We start from the raw sequence: 17,430 nt of genomic DNA on the forward strand, positions 1-17,430 counted from the left end.
CACCTTGTCTCGTGACTTACTGACCGCCATGAGGTGAGCTTTGGACTCAGCTACCCTAACACTGCCATGTGTAACTGCATGATGACAATGTTGACTTTTATCTGAGCCCTGTAATCCTAGAAAACAGTGAAGGTTAAGAAATCCACTCAACTTTTTATTCTGGAAAACAGTGTACCTATAAAAACAAAAACACTTTCCATATGACTTAGATAGGACTCACAGATGCGTGCCCCACCTCCCACCACCGTCTTGTTTACTTATGTCAAGGCCAGACACAGACCCTCCCCAGTCTCTTTCTTTGCCGCATAAATGATTAATTGAATGCTTGTCCCCACTGACTAATAAGAACAAAATGCTTGTTAACCAAACTCTGGTTAAACTTCTCTCCTTCCTCCAGGTTCTGAACTCTGGCTCGCCCTCAGCCTGAGCCGCAAAATAGTCTGGCCTCGGAGAAACAGTCTTCAGTTTCCTATAGGATCGTGCCACCCATTCATCCCCCTTCTCATTCATTCTTGCCTGTTTACTCCTCTCTATGAAAGAAAACCCCTGTTTGCCTAACTCTTGGGGATGCCTGCAGATCTTGGGGTCAGAGAAGCTCCCTGCTGCAATAATCGCTTTCCCCACTCTGCAATAATCCTTTTAAATAAAATCTTTCCTTACTAAGTCCAGATTTCTTTTTTATTTGACAATGACCACAGGCAAGTGATTTCACTGCAGTTTCCTCCATCTGTAAAGTAAGAAAAATATGTTGCAAAATTCTAAAATCAAAGACACGAAAGTGCTCTTTCAGCCACAAGAAAATAAAATATAGTTCTAGAGGGTGCTCAAGTCTTCAGCCTTCAATTTCCCTCTATAAATGTATTTCAGGGCCCACCATTGCCTGACCATTCTCTGTCCTCAGGCCCCAAACCCTCCCAGGCCCACAGGCCATCCCAGGCTCCCACCCAAGCCTCCTGGGCCACTTCAGCTTCAAACAGTCTCAATCCAGAAAGCCACCACTCCCTTCCCCAGGCACATCCACCCTTCATTCATCACTGTCACATCCCACAGAGGGCTTTTATTTAACAACCAATTTATTTCCAGTTTAACTAATCTGGGGATGGGGCATCTCTCTCTCTCACGCAAACCAACAACACCTGGGTTGTAAATAGACTTACAAACCAGTGTGTGCTGGATAATATAAACTCTCATCACAGCAACATCAGGAGAGAGGGGAGGGGAGGGAAGAGGGGTCATGAGACTGCAGGGTGATAAAATATGCAAGCCCCCAAGAAAAACAACCCCTGCAGCCCTCCCTTCTGCCCCTACGCTCAGCTCTGCTTAAAATTATTTATTTATTTATCTCTCTGATTCCCTGGCTCACCTTGAGCCCAAGACAAAAGCTTCATAAACAATGTATGACATGCTAACCCCTGGTTGGGTAGGAACCTGCAGGTGGTTGGGGAGGTGGCCATCATCTGGCCCCAGGCCAGGTTCCCCTCCCTCATCCTGCCTGGGGAAGAGTCTGGTTGCAAAGCCAGCTTGTGCTTGGGTGGAACAATGGCCCCCAGAAGGGAAATCTTGCTCTGTGAAAGGGAAAGCTAATCAGCAGTCTACAAGGCCCAGCCTACCCAAGGAGAACCTATGGATCCACTGGAGATAACAGAGACAGGAAGGGCTTTGTTTACATGGCTAGTAGGGCTCAAGGCACCAGTCAGGCTGGGTGGGCTGAAGTGTGTACCCAACAGGCCTGGAGTCTCCCTGAGTATCTTTGCTCCCCAGCCCTCCACCTTCCTCCAGATTCTCAAGCTGTACACATACCCAATAGTCTCCTCCAGGGCTGGGGCCCTATACAGAGGAATAGGGGAATAATCATTGGTTTAGGAAATTGAGTTTTAGACAGAAAGGAGCTTACTTACTGGCTGGGTGACCTTTTCAGGAAGTCCTCCTACCTCCCACTCAGCTCCCTTTCTTGCAAAGGAAGGTCTTGAACTAGGTGACTCTTGCAATCCCTTCCAGCTACAACCTCTTAGAAGTGAAGTCACAGAAAGGGCGACTTGGCTACTCAGAGAGATTTATCCTCTCCCTGGCTGTACACCGAGGCCTGCCAACACGACTTTAAATTACACCTCCTAAACTCTGCCTCACTTGGCACTTTCTCGGGCTACCTTAGAGGGTAGAGCAAGCTTATGTTAAACAAACACACTTGGTTATTAGAAACATATTTATAGTGGTTGCGTAGCTCTGGATGGAGGCAGAGCCATTCCCAGGCGGGGCTCCAGGGAGGATCATGCCTGCTGTGCGCTCTTCCCAGCCCCCAGGACCAGGACAGGAGCCCCCGCACCCAAATCAATCACACTGCTGTTTCTCCTCTCTGCGACTACCATAATTCCAGGCCTATATCATGCTCCTGGTGTCAGGGGGGAAACCAACTTTCAGGTCTGCTAATTCCACTTGGAAGGATGATGTATGTGGGAATGCTCTTTAGTTGGATATTCAACTCAATCCTAAACCAATTTCAAGAGGGAGTGTTTATGAGAGCCAAGGGCATCTCTTTTAGAGCTGGCTTCAGGATCCTTGTTTCTGTTAGAGATACGGGATGTAGGGGGAACCCTCCATCACAAGAGCAGGGAAAGGCCCCCAGAATAAGAGAGGAGGGAGACAGGGCCCGCCCAGCAGAGCCATAATTATCTGAGGAGGAAGCTGAGAAAAGAAAGGAGAAAGAAGGAATAATCCCTTCATGCTGCGCCTCCTCTCCCCACATCCCAGCGTTACATGGCTGGATTCCTCTAGTGGCCAGAAATATTTAATCGAATACTTTTGTTTGGATCTTGCATCCCTGGTAACCTGAAGATGTTACCATGGCAATCCCTGAGTAATACATCTCGATTATTTATGGCCTTGCAAATAGGGTGGGGAACCATTCCAGGCCCCATGGAAACAGCAGGGAGGTAGAAGCCTCATTTCCTTCGCTCACTGTTTCCAGGCAGCCCCAGAGGAAGGGGAGAAGGGAGCTGCCAGTTTGGTTGGGTAGAAATAGTTCAAAGCCTTTTAGCACGGAGAATCTCACCTCATCATTCCCCTTTTGTGTCCCTTAGAGTTTCCCTGTTCCCTACCCCTCCTATTCCGGGTCCCCACAGGTCACCCTCTATTCTCTAGGGCATAGGTCAGGGTTGGGTGGGTGGAGGGGTCAGGGCTATCTAAGGACTTGGGCCCCCAGTTCTCTGCTGAGCTGGTCTAAAATCCCATTCACACCACATGCTGCATCGATGACCTCAGGCACATGACTTGGCCTTCCAAAGGCTTTGTTTCTTCAAGTGCCAAATGAGGATAAGAACAGGTCTTATTTCACAGACTGATTACGAGCGTTAAATGAAATATGCATGTAAAGCTCTTTGTACAGCACCTGGCACATAGTAAGTGCTCAATTAATCAGAGTTGTTCCATAATAATTACATTATCAACCATCCTAACACATCCTTGTTTGTGGATGCAAGTCAGGATTGTTGAGGGAGGGGCAGGAAAACAGAACCGGGGCTGGACAAGGTGTGTACAAGAGTGAGGGGGTAGGTTTCCAGTTTCCTTCTCTTGTCCTGTGCTCCTGAGAACAGCATGAGCCTCTGTGGTGAAGTTAACCCTGGGTCCCTGCAGTCCCACTCTTCTCTGGCGTGCCACCACCCTGCACCTAAATGGCCAGATCTCCATCCCCACAAAGTCTGCCCTGATTAGCCCTGTACTGGGTTGAAAGTCTCCTAAAATTTATATCTACCTTGTGAATATGACCTTGCTCGGAAATAGGATGTTTACAGATACACATCAAGTTAAAATGAGGTCACACTGGGCTACGTAGACCCACTCCAATCCAATGACTGGTATCCTTGTAACAAGAGGGAAATCTGGACACAGACACACACTAGGAGAATGCTACCTGATGATGGAGGCAGAGATGGAGTGATCCTGCCACAGCCAAGGCAACAAGATGGCAGCAATCACCAGAAGCCGGGACAGGCATACCCCCAAGGGGAACCATCCCCACCGAAGCCCAGATCTCCGTTTTCTGCTCTCCAGAATGGTGAGTGAATAGATTTCTGTTTTAAGCCTCCCAGTTTATGGTAATTTGTTACAGCAGCCCCATGAAACGAACACGAGCCCTCAGACATTGATTGTTGGTAATGTGTGTCTCCTCAGGTCTCAGAAACAGCCTCTGCCTCACATCAACTGGCATGACCAGGTCCCAGCTTCCTCGCTGAACTCACTGGCTGTGTGCCTTTTAGTGAGTTGCTTACCTTCTTTGAGCCACATCTGTCAAATGGGAACATTGATGCCTGTTCAGTCTGCTTCATGGACTTGCAGACTTGCAGAGAAATTTGCATTTCATCCTGTCTATGTAATACCTTATCATCTTTACAGCAGACTACACATGTAGCCAATGGTGCTTATTTTCATTATGATGACACAGAAAAAGGACTTGTGCTTGTCATTTCCCTTGTGCCTGGAGATCTGGACCCCCACCCACAGTTAAGAGCAGGTGGAGGACTTCTCCCACCCAAACTGGGCCCCTGGCTCACAGCCTCTGGCCTCCCCTGTCCTGTTGGCATCCCTCATAGGGCCCTTCCACCCACACCCCTAGGCAACTGTTGCCCAGTGCATAGATGCTTGTGGTGGTCATTTACCTGGGAACACCAGGTGAGAACCATCTAATGAAACCCCTGGAATTCTGGCTAACTGGGGAGGCTCAGAGGATGAAAAGGGGAGGAACCCAGGGCCATAGCCTGAAAGGTCTGCATGAAGCCCATGGAGACCTCGGCCCAGCCACCAAGGTATTTCTGCTCTCCTGCCTCAATGATGCTGATGCTCACCTGGAGGCCCAGGGTGCCTCCTTCCTTCCTGCATGGCATGAGGCTCTCCTCCCTTCCTGCATGGCATGAGGCTCTCCTCCCCTCAGCTGTTGCTTCCTGTGGCTCAGCTTGACTTCTGTGCATCTGGGAGGCCGCCTGTCTTCACTGCCTGAGCTGGCCTGTCCACTGTCCTAGCCACAGTCCTGCCTGGACCATCCTCCCGGCTTCTTCAAGCTCATATGGTTCTCTCCAAGGTGCAGGAGGACTCTTTCCCACCAGGGGCACGTTCTGTTGTGGAGCCACCAGAAGGCACACCCCACCCACAGAGAGACTCCTGTCATTTTCCACAACCACTTCTGGCTCAGAATATGATACTAGCTCCCTGTGGCGGATGGGAAAGAATGGAAGAAGGGTGATCATGTGCATTGGCAAGCTACAAGATTGACCCCTAACAAGGGACCCCTCCCTGCCAGCCCTAAGCAGTGCCCCATGTTGGTGCTGCCTGGAACCCTGATCCTCAAGCAGGGCTCATCTTTCAGACACAATGCTACTGCAGGGTCTCAGTCAGTCACACTGTTCCTCCCACAAAGCCTCAATGCCTCCAGCCTCGGCTCCTTCCCACCTTGGGGTCCCCTACCTTGCACAATCCGCCATCCATTCTCCCCACCTGACTTCTCCTACACTAAGGTCTCAGCTCCAGGCAATCTTCCCTAGACCACCTACAGGCTATAGTCCTCCAGCCTGCATGCCCCCAGAATCTGCACCTCTCTAGAAAGCTTCATTGCACTTAACTATAACTGCTTAATGCAGCTTCCTCCTAGACTGTGAGCTCCATGAGAACAGAGGCCTTGTCTCCCTTGTTTGCACTAAATCCCAGTACCTAACAATGCCTGGCACATCCTAGGTGTTAAACAAATATATTTTGAGTGAATGAATGACACTTAATGGCTCACTGTGCTAGACTCATGGTATGAGAAACAACTCAGACTATATCTAGTCAGGATGTAAGGAACAACCCTCCTCTCTTACTTATGTTCATGTCTCTGTACATCTAGGATGAGGTGAGATTAGAAAGCTCGATATTCTAGACTAAGACTGAACTACACTATTAGAAGAGAGAATGATGTCCATGGCTGTGTGTGTGTGTGTGTGTGTGTGTGTGTGTGTGTTTGCATAAGGGCATGCGTGCATGTGTGTGTGTATGTGCCTGTGTGCATGGGAGGAGGGCTGGGGGGTAGTATCGCACTATCTACTCTGCTTCTGGCAGTGGTGGTGGTTTGGGGGAAGGGGTATTAAGCAGCCATCTCTTTGAGGAGTAATAGTAGCTGGGCAGGTCACAGGGACGCAGAGGCCTGAGCAGAGCAGATAACGAGGGTCCAGTTGATCTAGACCAGTGGTCCCAATCTTCAGTCCTCAGACCCCTACAGGTTCCCACAAGTAGTAATGTGGCCTTGCGAGCTATTTTAATATTTCTGTATGCCTAGCAGAAATGACACATTTACCAAAGATAAGGCTGCACAGACTACTAACTGAGACATCATTTCCCTGCTTTTGGCTGGAATTATATCAACTCAGTGTGATAACACCACTAATCTCACTCTGATCTGAACCCCTGATTGGCAGTCATACATGGCTTTGATTAATAAAAAATGGGAAAACAAATTATTTCCTGATAAATGCAGTTTGTTTGGCAGACAAAATCTTTAAAAATATAGGGCACATGGTACAGAGAGAGATTACGTGTCTGCTAAGACCACAGGCTCTGGCACCAAATCTCAAATCCTGGCTCAACCACCTACTCACAATAAGTGACACAAGTCTCTTAACTCTCTAAGCCTCAGTTTCTTCATCTACAAAATGGAGTCATAATAATATCCATCTCATGGGGTCACTGTGAGATTAAATGACTTAAGATAGAGAAACCACCTAGCTCATTGTCTGGTACATAGGATGCATGCATTACATATCTGCTCTTACCATCCTAATCACTATCACCACTCTTATCATTAGTTGGGGGTGAAAAAGTTGAGAACCACTACACTAGATCATTCTGGAAGTTCAAGTCATCACTGCGTTTTTATTTTTTTAAGACAGAGTCTTGCTTCATCACCCACACTTGAGTGCAGTGGCGCAATCTCAACTCACTGCAACCTCTGCCTCTGGGGTTCAAGCAATTCTCCTGCCTCAGCCTTCCGAGTAGCTGGGATTACAGGCGTGCACCACCATGCCTGGCTAATTGTTGTATTTTTAGTAGAGACGGCGTTTCATCATTTTAGCCAGGCTGGTCTCAAATTCCTGACCTCAAGTGATCCGTCCACCTTGACTTTTTTTATTTATTTATTTTTTTTTTTTTTTGAGACAGGATTTTGCTCCGCAGCCCAGGCTGGAGTGCAGAGGCATGATCATAGCTCACTGCAGCCTCGATCTCCTGGGCTCAAGCAATCCTCCTGTCTCCGCCTCCCAAGTACCTGGAACTACAGGTGCACACCATCATAGATGACTGCTTTTTTCTGTTTTTAGTAGAGATGAGGTCTATGTTGCCCAGGATGGTCTCAAACACCTGAGTTCAAGTGATCCTCCCACCTCGGTCTCCCAAAGTACTGGGATTATGGGTGCGAGCCACAGCGCCTGACCTGTCATCACTGCTCTTGCAGTTACATGAGAACTAGAGGTAGCGGACCCTCAGCCCACAGGTGGGATCTCACTCGGGGTGTAGGAAGTCTCTGAGAGCCTGAAAGATTTGAAAAGAAAAGAGGATGAGCACTTAGCTGACTTGCTCCCCAGTGATAAGAAAGGAGATTGTGTCTGCCAAGTAAAGCCAGAAATTAAGGATGAATTCCAAGCCAGGAGACTGGATGTTAGATTTAGTGTGTTCATTTTTTATTGCTGCATAACAAATTGCCACACATTTAGAGGCTTAAAACAACACCCATTTTTAATCTCACAGTTCATGAGTCAGAGCTGGGGCATGTTCCAGTGAATTCTCTGCTTAGGGTCTCAGAGGGTGAAATCCAGGTGTCAGCCAGGCTGAGCCCTTCCCTGGAGGCCCTGGGGAAGAGTCCCCCTCCAGGGTCATTCAGAACTCAGCTCCTGTGCTTGTAGGACTGAGATCTCAATTCCCTTGCTGCTGTCAGTGGAGGCTGCCCTCACCCCATGTCAAGGGGTTCCCTCCATCTGCGGGCCAGCAAGGGCTCATCAGTTCTGCTCATGCCTCTCTCTCACGTCCCCTCCAGCCACCAGCAGGAGAAAACTCCGCTTTGATTCAGCTCATGTAATTAGATGAGGCCCATCCCAATGATTTTTCTGTCTTAAGGTCATCTGTGCCATAACATATTCATAAGTGAAATCACATTCATGGGTTCCATCCCTACTCAAAGGCAAAAGGATTTTACCAGGGTGAGTGTTGTTGGGGGGAGGGTTGTTGCCATCTATAATGAAATAATTACACAACTCACCATGAAGTAGAATCAGTGGGAGTCCTGAGCTTGTTTTCCTGCAACTAGACGGTCCCATCTCAGGGTGATGGGAGACAGTGACAGATCATCAGGCATTAGATTCTCATAAGGAGCTCGCAACCTAGATCCCTGGCATGCGCAGTTCACAATAGGGTTTGTGCTCCTACGATGATCTAATGCCTCTGATGCCACAGCTGATCTGACAGAAGGCGGGGCTCAGGCAGTAACATGACTAATAAGGAGTGGCTGTCAATACAGATGAAGCTTTCTCTTATTCTCTTGCTCACCCGCCACTCCCCTCCTGGTGTGCTCAGCTCCTGCTGTGCAGCCCGGGTTTCTTACAGGCCACTATTGGTTGGTCTGTGGCCCAGGGGTTGGGGAGCCCTGACCTATGGATTTGTTCAGATGCAGGCTTTTGGGTCTCACCCACAGAGAAGTGATTGGAGCTCTGAGCTCAGGCTCTGTGTTATTAGCAAGCCCATAGGGAATTCTGTGTGTGGCCAGCTCAGGAGTCCTGGCCCTTCCAGATCTAACTTCGATCTTTCTAAAAACCCCTGAGCCACAGGTGAGCCTGACCACTCCCAGCCCTTTATCAATGAGGCCCAGCTGGATACAAACACCTCTTGAGGGAGAGGCGGAGGGCATTCTGCCACCAGGCTCTCTGGAGCATTTTAAGTCATTTCCAATGTCTGTTCTGTCTCAGCAACAAGATTGCCTGAGTGTAATGGCATCCTCCTTGTTCTCTGGGATAAAGGAAAGTGGTCTTACTGTCATGCACTCTTGTTGGGAAGGGGAAGGGGGCCATACCACCGAGCCACCCACCGGGACCTGGCCCGTTTCCATCCCTGGGGTTTGCTAGGAAGTCGCTTCCAGCCAAATCGCTCTGAGGACTCAGATTGTCTCGTTTGCCTGGTTGTTATGGAGAGATTCGACACACAGGCAATCAAACCCCTTAGCTCACCTGCGAGAGGAAGAGAGTGAGCGACAAGTGTAATAGTGGGGAGAGAACAGATATTCCCTGTCACTCCGCTTGCATTATCCCCCATAATGAGCTCTGCCCGACAGCTGCTCTCAGGGCTCAGACTGTTGCAGGGAGCCCAGAGGAGGCTGCTTGGGGTTTCAGTCCTCTACCCACTGCAAGTCTGAGGCTGCACCGGTGTCTCCTCCCCCAATCACCAGCTTGATGAACAGGCAGGAAACAAAACCACCCACAAGGTAGGAGGCCAACCTCGCTGTGGAAATGGACAGAGCCACAGAGCCTTGTGTCTCACACCTGCTGGTCTCACACATGTAGAAACTGGGGCACCCTGGTCCGTCAGCCAGGAGCTGTAAAGGATTGGCTCCTGCATGTGAGACACGTGTGTGTGTGCACGTATACATGTGCACATGAGAGAGAGAGTCTATAGAACTTTGATCTCCATGAGCTTGTGGTCAGATAAAAGCCTGCTAATCATATGATGCCTGATGAACAACACACTGTATTTTAGGAAGTGTGCCTTAAAGTGCCAAATTGTCAGGGAGGACTAAGACCTCAGTGGAGGCTTCAGGGAGGAGAGGAGTTACACTGGACTTTGGAGGAGAGATAGGACTTGGCCAGCAGGTGTTAGGTGATATCAGGAGGTGCAGAAGAGCATCTGAACAGTTGGTACCTGCTCCAGTTGTCAGGAGGGCCAGCAGGAGTCAACCATATCATCTCTTTTAACTGACTTCTGCTCCATTTAGAAGAGGCAAGACAAGAGGAGCAGTCAGATGGGGAACAAGGTTTCTAAATTCTTGGAGACTTTCTACAAGCTTTGGGGTAGAGTCAGGAGCTGTGGGTTCCAGTCCCAGCTGTGTGGCCTTGAGCAAGCCCCTTAACCTCATCTGCAGCAGCTCCTGGTACACAGAGGGGTCTCAGCCAGAGCCATTTTGTATGGCTCTGGGCATAAGGCTTCTCTTTGAACTCAGGAGACAGCAGTTGCAACAGTGCAGTTCAGGCCTGTCTACAGTCTTGTCTTCCATGGCACTGGCTTCTAGCCCAGCCAGGGATGAGGAATGGGGGTGGAGGGAGCTTCCCTCTCACATTAATACAATGTTGATTCTCCCAGCAGCTCCTACAGTGCTTTGGAGTTCCCTGGAAGAGAAGATCTCTCCCCAGCTCCCACACAAGGATTTCCCCAGCAGACCTCCATAGGAGCCCCACAGTTTGCAAAATAAAACAAAACTATCAATTCTTTAATTGTTTGCTTTTTTCTCCCTGGGGCATAATGAACCCATTCTCAGTTAACACATACTGCCTGCTCTCCTTCTCTCTGTCTCTCTCCCTCTCTCTCTGTTGCTGCAAGCAGCTATAGTCTCAGGCGTCTAAGGGAAAGCTCTAGAGAGCCCAAGGCCTGGGAAGGGTCCTGGAGGCGCAGGGGAAGGCTGACCCCTCCTGGCAACAGCTGGACATCTGCCACCGTGAGGTACCCATTGGCTCTTCTCCCTCCCACAGCCAATGGGTGGGCTCCTTGGACAAGGCTGGACCCAGTGAGGCCCAGTCCATGAGGACCAGGCCTGCCCAGCTAGACCAGCTGCAGGATGCAGGCGGGGAGGGAGATGGGGAGAGACAACCTGGGGAAAACAAGAAGCAGGGGCTTGGAAGAAATCTCAGTGGTTGCTGAACATTAAATGAGTTAGTGTTCAAATGAGATGCAAATGACATGCAAATGAGCCTCTTGGACTTTTGAAAAGGGGCACCCAGCGTTTTGACTAAGAGAATAGCAGTTAATCTCAGCTGCCAGGGACATCAGAGTGACCTCTCCTCAGAGACACTCCGCTGCATTGAGGAGCTGCCCAAGCTACTCAAAACCAGGTCCCTGACCCACTAGGGCCACATGGGCACCTGGCACCACCGGCCCCCAGAGACTCCTCTTTCCTTGTTCTACACAAGCCAGTTGGGTAAGGGGCAAAGGCGCACCGAGACTGGTAATTCACAGCACCATAGAAGTCTAGTGAAGGGGGGACCCTGGTATCATCGTCTTTCCCATTTCACCGTAGAGGATCTGGCCAAGGACACACAGCAGTTTTGTGCCAGAACCAGGCCTAGACCTCAGGGATCTGAGACTCACCCACTGCCCTCTCTCCAGCTCAATGTCTGCCCCTGATCTCCCTTGCTGTCCTTTAGTGAAGGCAGAATTTCCCTCTGAGGCCACCCAGGAGGTGGGTCCTCACGGGGCGGCTCAACCTGCAGGCTCCTCACAGTCCCCGAAATTCCTCAGGTCTGTGTGGCATCCCACCAATAAGGTCCCCTTTCCCCTACCTGTTCCTCAGACATTCCTAGATCAGGATCTTCACCCGCTGGGACCCCGGGAGTCCCTAGCTGGGGCCTGGGAATATCAGAAGGGAGGAAGCGACAAAATGGGAGGGAAGAGTGTCACTCATCAAAGGGAATTGGCCCTTCCCAGAGCTTCCACAGGCTTGAGATGCCAGAAAGGACTTCCAGAGGGCAAAGGGGAGTCGGCTGAGCCTCCTTAAAAGCTGGCAGCTGGGGAGGAGGAGAGGCAGGTAGGGAGGGCAAGGCACAGTTAGGTGGAAACATGGACTACCTTCTGTAGCTACTCCTCGAGAGATACCAACCACAAAGCACTAGGCTCTCAGAGGAAGAGTTAGCTTCCACCCGTGTCTCCCAGCCCCTGGCAGGCACTGGAGCCCACTTTTCCCCTTCCTGCTCTCAGCACTCCTGGCTCTGCCCTTCCCTGCTGTCAGCCCCAACCCCAAGACCAAGGTCCCCCAGCTGGGCACAGCAGGGAGACGGGGCAGGGGATACATTAGGCATGGAGTCCTGATGCTCACGTACTCGGACACACTCTCTGACAGGGACCCCTTGAGTTCAAAGCTGGGCCCCCCAGTTTACTTAATAAAATCATGATAAATGAATACATGAATTGATTGGCTCATTAATTCCTTCATTATTGTTGGAGACCTCACAGCCAGTGAATTCTTCCCCCTCCCCAGGCCTGTAATCATCTCCCCACAGAGCCACTCAGGTGGTCCAGAAGCCACCTGGATAGAGAGGGTGCAGGGGCTCCCCTGATGGGCACATTTTCCCAGCTCTGCAGAGCCTGCCTATCCAGGAGCCCCAATCCTGGCCTCTGCTCCCTGCAGGCTCTGAGAACTTGGGCAGCAAATGCCACCTTCTTGATCATCCAGACATCTGATTCTCTAGCATGGTGTTTCACATATTATTTTTGTTCCTCCCCATGGGGACGGACACAGGAGGTTGCACAGAGTACGTGCAGAAAACCACCAAACTCCAGTCCTCTTATCTTCACATTCAGAGAGAGATTCCGGACCCCAGAGTACAGAAGTGAATTGCCCAAGGTCACAGGGCTGGCCAGTAGCCAGGTCTTCTGACTAAGCCACCTGCCTTCCATCAGCAGGAAGTGCTCATCCCATCCCAAGGAGGGCCAGCCTGAGGGGAGAAGGTGGAGGGTTTGGGGAAATAGAGACTACCGCTGGAATTTTCTTTGTGTTCCTACCCACCAGGCTTCATTTGGGATCTGCTCTTCCCCCAGCAGACTTTCATAGTGCTGGCAACACAGCAACCTCTATGTGGGCAGTCACTGGCCTAGGGTCTTCATACAATTTATCCTCCAAACTGGGGCTCTTTCAAGAGTGAAGGAGGCACTGTTAATTATTCGACAGGGTAACGGTGCACACTTTGGACTGTCCCAGGCAAACAGAGACATTGGTCAGCCTGGCTATAGCTATTCCACGCGGCCCTCCCCTCTTTCAGTAAGAGTCCCCCTTAATCATCTAATGGTGACCCCAGAGATGTCCTGTGTACTGATGTGGAGACCAGCCACTTAGGTGAGACCTGGGCTTAGCAAAATATAACATATACATTGGATAGGGGGAAAATGAAGTGTTAAATAGCTGTTCACAACACAATTTGCATTTTCTTTTTTTTTTTTTTTTTTTTTGAGACGGAGTCTCGCTCTGTCACCCAGGCTGGAGTGCAGTGGCGCAATCTTGGCTCACTGCAAGCTCTGCCTCCCGGGTTCATGCCATTCTCCTGCCTCAGCCTCCCAAGTAGCTGGGACTACAAGTGCCCGCCACCACTCCCGGCTAATTTTTTTGTATTTTGTATTTTGTATTTTTTTGTAACACGGAGACTGGGTTTCTCCGTGTTAGCCAGGATGATCTCGATCTCCTGACCTCGTGATCCACCCGCCTCGGCCTCCCAAACTGCTGGGATTACAGACATGAGCCACAGCGCCCGGCCTCAATTTGCATTTTCTATTCATTGATTTCATAAATATTTTCAAGTCTACAGTGTGCCTAGCATAATGCTGGGTATTGGAGAAACACTGGCAAATGACATAGACACCGACCCTGTCCTCATGGAATTCATAGACCACTAGAAAAATTGAACACCACTTAAAAATCAAATCATGTTCTCCACAAGGAAACACGAGTGATGGAACACTCAGAAAACACAGGGGTTGGGCCTTGTCAAAGGAAATCTTTATTGGTTCCATCTTCAAATCAAATCAATTCTATATGGAAGATGATCACCTAGTTGCTCAGGCTAAAGTACAGTGGTGTGATCACAGCTCACTGCAGCCTTGGCCTCCTGGGCTCAAGTGATCCTCCCACCTCAGCTTCCCAAGTAGCTGGGACCACAGGCACATGCCACCATGCCAGGCTAATTTTTTATTTTTCTAGAGAGGCGGGTCTTGCTATGTTGCCCAAGCTGATTTCAAACTCCTGGGCTCAAGTGATCCTCCCACCTCAGCCTCCCAAAGTGCTGGGATTACAGGTGTGAGCTACCACGCCTGGTCGTTATGTGACTTTGAGCAATTTATTCAACCTCTCTGAGCCTCAACTCCCTTACTCGTAAAAAAGGAAAATGATATTATTTACTTCATAAGCCTAATCTGAAAATGAAACAATAAACCTGTAAACTGCTTTGCACAGTGCCTGAATCAAGGTAGGTACTCAACAGAAATCAGTTCTCTTTTCTTCTATTTCCAAACTGGTTTTTATATCTTTTTGCCGTTACTCCTGCTCTTCTGCCAGCAAGATACTCTCTCCTTTTCATTGCCTACCCAGGCAACTCCTATTCATCCTTGAATGCCCAGCATAACATAGCAAAAGCCAGCACAGAGTAGCAGTTAAGAATACAAGCTTTTGGTCCAGTGTTCCTGGGTCTGAATTCTGATTCTGCCAATTGCTGTGTGATCTTAGGTAAATGACTTAACCTCTCTGTACCTCAATTTCCTCTCGTTTCATTCAATTGTCATGAGGATAAAATGAGTTAATAAGCATGCATTTGGACCAGTAGCTACTTCACAGTGGGTGCTATGTGAATTTTTGAAAAAAATAAGGCCAGGCATGGTGGCTCACACACCTGTAATCTCAGCACTTTGGGAGGCTGAGGCAGGCAGATCCCTTGAGCTCAGGAGTTTGAGACCAGCCTGGGCAACATGATGAAACCCTGTCTCTATAAAAAATACAAAAAGTAGCCAGGCATTGCGGTACACACCTGTAGTCCCAGCTACTCGGGAGGCTGAGGTGGGAGAATCACTTGAGCCTGGGAGGCGGAGGTTGCAGTGAGCCAAGATCATGCCACTGTACTCCAGTCTGGGTGACAGAGTGAGACTCTGTCTCAAAAAAATAAAATAAATAAAAAATAAAAATAAAATGGCCAGCTCAGAAATCATCTCCTCCAGCTTTAAAAATCTGAAATGTTCCTGAATTAAGCTGAGCTTACAGTGCTGTAAATGGTCTTTGGTGGTGTTGGCATTACAAGGAAGAATGACAGCAGAGTGATATGAACTAAGTGGAGGGATCAGGGCATGGCCTCTGAAGGAGAAAGATCTCACCTTGAGCTAATGTGAGGGCCCAGGGATCTAGAATCCTATCTAAACCCCAGGCCTAACTATCCCTCAATTCTACAATGTCATAGCTTGGGAGCCTAAAAGCTGGACAGAGTCGTCTCCTCTGAAATGGCCTAGCCCCTGTCCTTTCAGAGAGAGCTTCTCAAGGTCATTGCAAAACCAGGCTCTCAAGGCCCCTCCCTACAGCCTCGGCTTTCCTCTCTAGGAGCAAAGTCCCACCAAGACCTGAACTCTAGCTGCAAGAATTCAAGACGTGTTCAATTCACTTCCAGGTTCTCCTCCCACCCACCACCAGCCCTCTATCCCCCAGAGCTAGGCAGCAGCTGCTGTTAGGAGATCCTATCCAGCCCTGGCTTGACATTTCAACAGCCCGAGACCCAGAGATAAAAGTTGTCACTGAACAAAGTTCATCCCCCTCTCCCGCTCCCTTCCTGGAGCCTCGATAGGCATCAGAATGGGCACTGAGATGGTCTCTCTTGCTTTCTACTGCTGCTGCCGCTGCTGCAATTCCTGCTTTTTATTTAGAGGGGTGGGGGGAGATTTCACAACTGATGATTACGAAGAAGCGGTTTATCACCTGTGCTTTTATGATTGTAGCGACTAAGGGGAAAAAGATGTCTTTTCAGATAAGCATTTGAAGGACGGGGAGAAAGATTTTCAAAGCTCCCTTTGTTCTCCTGGAGGGCCACGCCATTGAGTTCTGGCAGGCAGCCCGGGAGAAAGGAGGATTTTAAAAACACAATCTGAGCTGGCTTCCAAACCCCTGCTCACCATCCCTGTCATCAATTAGGGATGTTACTTAACAAGGGGTTTGGGCCATTGTCTCATCCAGCCTGCTTTCCCTAATTGGATGCAGAGTGGTGATGAATTATTTGGAAAAGGGCTCCACACTGCAGAGGTCATTGCTTTGGCCCCCTGACACTCAAGGCCAGCTCAGGCTGGGCTGGTGTGGGCCTCTGGGGCATGTTGCTGGCAGGGAGATAAGAGAAGGACCTTTCTGAGGCCCCTCAGTGCAGGCGGAGAGCACAGACCCAGAACCCAGAGAAGGGCAGGCTGCCAGTCCATGCGGGGAACTGAAGGTGAGTGGCCAGGGAGAAGATGGGGGCCGCTCCTGTGGCCTCTGCCACCCCCAGCCCCCACTCCAGTTTCTGAAGATGGAGCTCGGTGAGCACAGAGAGCTTTAAGGCCTCAGTCCACAAAGGGACGGGTCTGAATTCGTTAGGTCAAACTGCCATAGACTCATAAATATTGTGCCCAGAATCCCCCAGACCCTGAGTTACGGACTGAGTCCACCAAAGGTTAAGAAATGGCCATCATCCTCAGCAAAGGAAAATGCATCCTCCACAGCTTCCAATGGAGAGAACTCTAGGTGAAAGAGAAGCTGGATCCCATGGCACACTGGGTTGCCCTTACCTTTGGAAATGACTGAGGCCCAGAGTTCAGGATGCTCCCCCACTTTACCCTGCTGTCCCAAGTGTGGGACCATTTTCTTTCTTCCTCACAGTGTAACTGAGATCAAACTGCAATGTTTCAATAAAACCTTACTAAATGCCCAGAAGAAACAAAAGAGAAAACAGAGTAATACAAAATCAGATCATCATCAGGTTTAAGACCTACAGTTGGCTCACGTTCAACTTGGAGCCCTCATAAGTTGCCTCCCCACCAGGGTGGATCCCCAGCTTGCCTCCCTTGCCAGAGGCAAGCTTTCCCCAGCTCATCCAGGATGCTGGAAGTTCATATCCAAGCAAGAGAGATGGAGTTACCCTCCAACCTACCTAAGACCTGCCTTCTAACTCCTGAGTTCTGTCTAGAACCTACCTCTTGGCTGTATAATTAAGGTAGGGAGGCCGGGCGCAGTGGCTCACGTCTGCAATCCAGCACTTTGGAAGGCTGAGGCGGGCAGATCACTTGAGGTCGGGCGTTCGAGACCAGCCTGGCCAACATGGTGAAACCCCATCTTTACTAAAAATACAAAAATTAGCCAGGCGTGGTGGTGTGTACCTGTAATCCCAGCTACTTGGAAGGCTGAGGCAGGAGAATCTCTTGAACCCGGGAGGCGGAGGTTGCAATGAGCCGAGATGGCACCACTGCTCTCCAGCCTAGGTGATAGAGCAAGAATCTGTCTCAAACAAACAAACAAACAAAAAACTGGTCTGGCACGGTGGCTCACGCCTGTAATCCCAGCACTTTGGGAGGCCGAGGCGGGTGGATCACCTGAGGTCAGGAGTTCGAGACTAGCCTGGACAACATGGTGAAACCCCATTTAACTAAAAATACAAAAATTAGCCAGACATG

The 17,430-nt window shown here is 49.7% G+C and overlaps 1 long non-coding RNA gene across 1 annotated transcript in view, besides 2 other annotated features; it reads right to left on the minus strand.

Annotated features, from left to right (window-relative positions):
- LOC107987166 (uncharacterized) overlaps positions 1-17,430 on the minus strand; it is a 160,015-nt gene that overhangs the window by 98,253 nt on the left and 44,332 nt on the right. The gene's annotated exons all lie outside the window — the stretch shown is intronic.
- Positions 12,449-12,743: a silencer, noted in NCBI's record as "tiled region #10278; K562 Repressive DNase unmatched - State 9:DNaseU". NCBI's record gives its function as "weakly represses a minimal TATA promoter and a strong SV40 promoter by Sharpr-MPRA in K562 cells {active_cell/tissue: K562}" and the evidence as "EXISTENCE:reporter gene assay evidence [ECO:0000049][PMID:27701403]".
- Positions 12,449-12,743: an enhancer, noted in NCBI's record as "tiled region #10278; HepG2 Activating DNase matched - State 5:Enh". NCBI's record gives its function as "activates a minimal TATA promoter and a strong SV40 promoter by Sharpr-MPRA in HepG2 cells {active_cell/tissue: HepG2}" and the evidence as "EXISTENCE:reporter gene assay evidence [ECO:0000049][PMID:27701403]".

The sequence above is a fragment of the Homo sapiens genome, chromosome 11 (assembly GCF_000001405.40).
Source record: "Homo sapiens chromosome 11, GRCh38.p14 Primary Assembly".
NCBI classification, from domain to species: domain Eukaryota; kingdom Metazoa; phylum Chordata; class Mammalia; order Primates; family Hominidae; genus Homo; species Homo sapiens.